General features: G+C 41.5%; 2 annotated features.

The window, feature by feature from the left end:
* Window positions 1,637–2,384: an enhancer, noted in NCBI's record as "OCT4-NANOG-H3K27ac hESC enhancer chr1:209556921-209557668 (GRCh37/hg19 assembly coordinates)". NCBI's record gives its function as "activates a minimal SCP1, AML or CMV promoter by ChIP-STARR-seq in naive and primed H9 embryonic stem cells {active_cell/tissue: H9 hESC(naive and primed)}" and the evidence as "EXISTENCE:reporter gene assay evidence [ECO:0000049][PMID:30033119]".
* Window positions 2,385–3,133: an enhancer, noted in NCBI's record as "OCT4-NANOG-H3K27ac hESC enhancer chr1:209557669-209558417 (GRCh37/hg19 assembly coordinates)". NCBI's record gives its function as "activates a minimal SCP1, AML or CMV promoter by ChIP-STARR-seq in naive H9 embryonic stem cells {active_cell/tissue: H9 hESC(naive)}" and the evidence as "EXISTENCE:reporter gene assay evidence [ECO:0000049][PMID:30033119]".

The raw sequence follows: 7,344 nt of genomic DNA on the forward strand, positions 1-7,344 counted from the left end.
GAGGTAGATCCAAGATTAAGATGTGAACATGTTCCAGCTTTAATTTCAGTTGTTTTTCTTTTTTAAATAAAGAAAAGCCAGCAATACAATTTGTTTCTCATTGAGCACTATACACATTCAGCTATGACTGAGAATTTAGAAGATACAAATTCAAACTCCAGTTTAATTTCCTTTTTCCTGTTTGACTCCAAGCTCAGTAGGTGATCTTATAAGTTGACAGGGGTAACATTGCACCTATTAGCACTTGTCAACCAAAAGTAGATTGTTCGGGTTTCAATAAATGTTTTTTTGAATTGGATTTAGGTTGGTGAGAAAATATATTAAGTCAGAATTCTTTGAGGCAAATTACATATTGAAATGAACAGTTTGGTGTTCATCCTGTCTACCATCCCCCTCAAAAACAAAGAGACAGACAGAAAGAAAAAAAAAGCAGAAGTTTTGCTTTTCTAAGCTACGAGAATTTCTTCTGCTGCTACATCTGTGAACGCTTTACAAGGCAATGTCTACAGTTTGAGTTTTACAGCCCATTTTGATTGCAGTTTACATGACATCTGGGGCTCTATTTTTGGAGAAATTTCAAAGCTAGTGACTTCCAGTTTTTAATCAGCAGTGTATTTATTTTCTACCCTAGCATAATTGTTCATGGCTCCACATTGATTTTTTTATAGGAGACAATGCAAAATGATAATCAGAGTGAATTAGTAATTTGATCTTGTATCTGTCAAGGCTTGATGGCTTTTACCTGCTCTAGAGGCTAGAAGGCAATGTGCTGACCTCATTGTGTTGAAAAAAATTGAACACATCGTGGTTGTCAAGGACAAGACATTCTCAGTCATAAGAACAAAGAGAGCAAGAAAGGCTAATGAGGGAAGAGGCCATACAACCCTGAAAAGTACACAGCCTCCTGCCCCTCTGCTCAGAATCTGGGGTCATGTTTGCAGCCACAGGTGCCACATGCAGAAGTGTCAGAGGTGTGAAAACCAGAGCAACTCCATCTTGAATAGGAGCTGGGTAAAATAAGGCTGAAACTTGCTGGGCTGCATTCCCAGACAGGTTAAGGCATTCTAAGTCACAGGATGAGATAGGAGGTTGGCACAAGGTACAGGCCATCAAGACCTTGCTGATAAAACAGGTTGCAGGTTGCAGTAAAGGAGCCAGCCAAAAACCACCAAAACCAAGATGGCCGTGAGAGTGACCTCTGGTCATGCTCACTGCTGCACTGCCACCAGCGCCATGACAGTTTACAAATGCCATAGCAATGTCAAGAAGTTACCCTGTATGGTCTAAAAAGGGGAGGGATTAATAATCCACCCCTTGTTTAGCATATCATCAAGAAATAACCATAAAAATGGGCAACCAATAGCCCTCAGGGCTGCTCTGTTTACAGAGTAGCCATTCTTTATCCCTTTACTTTCTTAATAAACTTACTTTCACTTTGCACCACGGACTTGCCCTAAATTCTTTCTTGCGCGAAACCCAAGAACCCTCTCTTGGGGTCTGGATAGGGACTCCTTTCCAGTAGCGCATTTAACAGAAGGACAGGCTGTGCAGACATTATTTTCGCTCCTTTCTACTGAGAAGGGAAAACACCACAATTGAGCAGCCTGCTCCTCTATAAGTGAATGAATAAGCACTTGCTTTTCATTGTGGGTGAGTCAAATGGCCTGGCATATATGCAAGTAAGAACTAGAGCAGAGGCTGCTCACCTGCAAACTCACATCAGGGCTTCTGCCCGGAATTACGGTATTTTTTGTTTGTGTGTGTGTTGTTGTCATTGGCTTCTTTTCATAGGGGTTTGGATGAAGCTATTTAAACACATGAGACAGCAGCCACTAGGACTGTATCTAAGAAGGTAAGTGGTTTGCCCAGGGTTACATGGCTAGTGGAAGAGCTAGTCTTTACAAGAATCTTTTACATAAACCAAACCAGGTGAGGTAGGATCAATAAGAGGGTGAAGTGAGGAACCGACATTTTTAAGAGCTCCATGAAATGAAGGAGCTTGGAGAGAAAATTGATAGATGGTACTTTCAGTAGCCCAGCCTCCTCCTGTAATTTCTGGCTTCACCTTTCTCTAAGCCCTCCTTTGCTCTGAGTTCTGTCTGGGCAAGTCCCAAGCTCCTGGAATGCATCTTTGCCTTCCTTATCTGGAAGCTAATCACTAAATAGCAGGTGGCGGAGATTCTGGTTTTCATCCCTCTTTCTCTCTCCCTTTCTCTCTTTTACTCACTTCCTCAGGGCTATGAATTTCTGAATCTTAAACAGGAAACCTCCCTGATTTGTTCACACCTGGAATGCCATTCTATCTTTGTTTGAAGAGTGCAGAAATTAGAGCGCGGGAGAATCAAGAGAAGGAGCTGTTGTGTGAAGAGGGAAGAGAGAGGTCAGCATTTAAATGTGAACACACACACTGAGAGGCACATATACATGCACACAGTTTAATCTAAGCTAAGCATTCTTTCTTTCAACTCCTGCATTTCCCTCCTCATCTCCACTGCCAGCAAATGTCTTACAAGACAAAGAGTATTTACTGTGTGTCACTTCAGTTATCAACACTCTGCACAAATAGGTTGACAGAGGAAACAGGCAAAGTACCTTTGCAGGCCCATTTGGGGTTGAAATAGCAACTAGACTGCCTAGAGGCTGCCAGATATTAGCTTACTTATTGCTCCTGCAAATGTTAGAAGCTGGCTCTTGAGAGAACCTGTCATCAACATCCCTGTCCCCGTGGGTGTCAGGAAGGTTCGGCCTTCTTTAAGGTAGGCACTGTGTCCTCATGGACTGTTCATTTTGGGAAGAACCTTGGGAGATCACCTGGTTCAAGCTCCTGGCTTTAGTCATTGTTTGTCTCTAAATCCAGAGACCAATGTTTGTGATCTACTGACTCGTAAGCTCCCTATGAGGAAAATGGAACAAAATATTGGGCACAAAGACATAAATCTAAATGCATGGTTTCTAATCTGTGGACCCTGAGATCCCACAGGAGCACCATATTTGCATGAATCAGTGCTTATAGGTTGACCAAATAGCATGATTCACACACATATATTATAATACTTCTAATGGTTTTATTCATTCATTCTACAAATACAGTACTGCTTTGTGCCAGAAACTGTGGTAGGTGCTGAGCATATAATAGACAGGGAATAAGTCAAACTGACTCTGCCTTCATGGAGCTTCCTGTCCAGTGGTAAAAACAGGCAGAGAGAGCTGCAGAAACACAGAGTGAAAGCAATAACTCAGATTTGGAATATTATATAGATAAGGTTATGATTAATAGAACTCAAATTCCTTTAAAGGTAGTAGTCTCTGTCTGCTATTAAGCATTTGCTCTACCAATGCATTCCTAAATGTATTTTTATCTACATGACTATACATGTTTTCAGATTCAAATGTGCTCTCCTGACTAAAAAGATTGGATACCACTGACCTAAATCATCTGCTAGGATTGCCTTTTCTATCCCAGGTGAATAAATTAAATAGCTATGTAGTTTTCCCTTTGCCACTGGAAGTTTCACTGAAAAATCAACTCATGAAAGGCAGATTAATAAGAGAAAAGGCATAGATATTTGTTCACATTCATGCGAGAATCACAGGGTGATTTCCCAATATCCCAGTGGGTTACAGATGCTTGTATACCTACTTCTTGAGGGAAAGAGAGATGGGACATTGTGGATGACTTTAGGGACATTAGTAAATAATTTTCAGGGCAATTCAATGGCTGTGAAGAATATACAATGGCCTGGGAGAAAGTCTGTTGGGCCCACAGAGCAGAGAGTAGTTTGTGATAAAAGTCTGCCCATGTTTGTTGACAGACTTCAGTTTTTCTTCCTGCGATATGAGTTCAGTTAATGAAAATTCAGAGAAGGGATCAGAAGTAATTGTTTTCGTCTTTGGTAGGTGTAGATCTTAGGCAGATAAGGGAATTTCAGAGAACAGCTTCATCCTTCTCCATGATAGAAGTAAAGGATTGAGAGACAGAAGCGGGTAGAGAGGGAAAAACAATTGTTCTCCTTGGTGGGTCCGTCTGATCTTTACGTAGATAGGGGGAAAGTCTCCTCCAGCATCTGTTGATCTCAAAGGACCTTTAATTTAAAATACCCATTATACCAGGGAGCTATATTTTGGGTGAAGTTTCCTGTGCTCCTTCAGCAAGAAATAATATTTTACCAATATTCCAGTAACCCTCAGGGAACAATTTTTTCATAGTTCTACACTGGCTTTGCATCACTGAAAATTAATCTCAGAGTTCTCTGTACCCCATAACCCAAGAATGCTACGTCTCTGGGGAACCCTGCAGAAACCCAGAAAGAGCATGATCATTTGGTTATAAATTCCACCTCCCTAGTGGGCAGCCTCATCTCTGTCCTTGACATGGGTGAGGTTGGAGGCAAAGGTTTGTTGTTGATTTTGGTATGCTATGGAATACCAGGCCTGGAGCCACAGGACATGACTTGTTGCTCTATTAGACATGCTAAATAAGCTCCTGAAACAAAGAAATCAAGCGAAGATTAGATGGGAGGATTTTCTTGTCAAGAATTATGAATGCAAAAATAACCCTGAAAATATAGCTATAGTTGAATAGGGGCTGGGCAAGACAATGGACAGAAAGATTTGTTAGACATAAGATCCCACTTAAATCAAAATGATCCACCAAGGCTCAGCTCCCAATGGGGTCTCTATGTGCAGATTCAAGGGTAGAAATATTGTAGGGACGTTTTTAGTATCAATTCTGCATTAGACAATGTGATAGGTATCAAGCCTACAAATACCAATGAGATATAGTCCTTTAACTGTCTTCTTTTAGTTAAAAAAAAAAGTAATTGTCAATACTCATTAAAAATATAAATAAATAAATAGTATTTTAAACTTTGTGACAATGGGCAGAACAGCAACAAGGAAAGCAGGCCAAGGCACTGGGTTTGGAGTCAAGAGATGGGTTTTATCCTGGTTATATGTTGAATTTACTTCCCACCTTGGGCAAATCACTTCCCTATCTAATCAGTTTCCTAACCTGTAAAATGACAAAAATCACTTCCACTTCCTAGTTTTATGATTCCAGGTCCAATACAAGAAGGAATTTCTTTTAAGGGCCCCCTTAATCTGGTCAAAGTTATCCTTCCCAGCAGGGCAGAAACTTCACCTGTTTGCATTAGGCCTGGGTTGTGGGATAAGCTATCTCCTGACAGACCCCAAGAGTCTCCATCTTCCAGTCCTCCCCAAGTGACCCCATGAGAAGACGTATTAAAGGAAGGAATTCAAAACAGTATGGCCCATGTAAAGAGTATCCTTTAGGAACAGGATCTGTTTACTTAGTGGCTGGAAACTTAAATGCATGCATTGTATACCGCCCAACCCCCAACTCCCCACCCCCACTGCTATCATAGCCATTAAAAAAAGGAGCATAGCAGATCTCTGACAGTTAGACCTTACCCATTTTCAGCTCTGGACTTTCACTGAGGTAATATCTTTACCTGTTGCCAACTAGACCTGTTGGTGTGTGTAACTGTTTCTTCATTCTGACTCATCACACCTTGCTTGTGGCAGCGAACCCAGGCGCCATTGTTTCCTGGTGATCTCTGGCCTACTTTTTCCCAAACGCTGTGAGGCAGCCATGGAGCCTTGTGAAAGAGATTGACTTTCTCTCAGGTAGCCAAGGGCCTTTGGGACAGCTACCTCCTGATCCCCTTTAACCCCAGGGGGAACTCTGAAGGCTGAGCCCCTCCTAAGTTACAACATAGAAGTTAGTTCCAGTAAAACTTTCCAGGCTCTGCTAATTCCATAAGGGACTCTTAAAGAATGAGAAATGGAAGCCCAAGGTCTGCATAAAATCCTACATGTGCTAAGCCCGCCAAAATCAGTTTGTTGAGGAGAAGGAGCACAGTAGGAAGAGCTTTTGTATTTTCAATTCAGATAAACCCCAGTAAGACTAGCCATAGGGCAACATAGAACTGCTTATGGTTCCATATATCTTGCTGTATTTTCATTCCATGCCTTACCATTTAAAATATTATTTAATTATCTTTTTAGTGAGTATTGCCAATTACCGTTTTCTTTGCTAAAAGAAGACAGTTAAAGGACTATATTTTCTTGGTATGTGTAGGCTTGGTGCCTATCACATTCCATTCCAAAAACATGTGCCTAATGTTTCTGGAATGTCCTCTCCCAGTCCACAGCCTCTCTTCACTGAGCTAATTGCTACTTGTCCTTAACACTCAGCTCAAACATCACCTCCTCCAGGAAGTCTCCACTGACCTCCCCCTTTGCATTAGATGCCTGTCTTGATACATCCCCCTAAGGCGTTCTGTGTAGCTCTACCTGTGCACTTTACCATATTGTTACATATTTACCCATCTTTCTCACCTAGGCTCTACACCTTCTGTAGAACTAACTCATGTTATTCATCTTTTTTCCTCTCCATAGCTTACTACATGGCCTTGTATGTTTATTGTATGAATAAACAATCTGGTTCATCCACTTATTAGGTGTGTGTTCTGGGCAATTTAATTCACTTCTCTGAGCCTCAGTTTTCTCATCTATTAATTGGAAATAACAATCCATGTCTCTTAGAGATATTGTTCATATGAAGAGGTGACATATGTAAAGGCCTTCCACAATGCTGACACATAGGCACAGAGTCAATTCACCTAGGGCTGTGGATTTGCACAGGAAATGAAGAAAAAACACAAAAGCAGCAAGCTCAGAGCAATGAAGACTCTTGCTGTCAGTGTGCAGACCCTTTCCTCCATGGATGTATTGTCCCAACCAGCGCTCCCTTGCTGCAAGGGAGCCTGGAAGTCCTTTTTTTCCCTTTTTTTCCTTCCTTCTTTCCTTTCGTTTTCTCCTTTATTCCTTCCTTCCTTTCTTCCTTTTTTTCTCTCTTTTCGTAAATGAGAAACACATGAGTGAATCATTTTTATAAGTTTTCCTGGGAATCCAGCATCTCTAGCCAGAATATTAATAACGTGGTTACTCTGATGATTTCTCCCATTGACCCTAAAAACCTAGACATTCTCTTTTATAGGTAGGTCTCTTCAAGTGAGGTCAGCTTCTCCAGATAATTTCTGGTGATTTATGCAGACACCTTGGGGAGGAAAAAAGGAAGCAGCACTGATCTGAGCCTCCTGGAAACTCAACAAGTGGCCTGACCCTTGAAGGGTTTCTTCACCGTGTCTGGTAAAGTTTCCAAATTCTGGAGATGTGGAAGCAGAGGCACATTACCAGAAGGCCAGGTAATAAGCATGTTGGCAAGTACTACTGCTGGCCCTGACCCACCATATCATACCACAGGACCATCCACACCCATCCCCTATCCCAAAACCACACATCCACACTCCCCACCACCAC

This window comes from Homo sapiens, chromosome 1 (assembly GCF_000001405.40).
Source record: "Homo sapiens chromosome 1, GRCh38.p14 Primary Assembly".
Classification (NCBI taxonomy): Eukaryota; Metazoa; Chordata; class Mammalia; order Primates; family Hominidae; genus Homo; species Homo sapiens.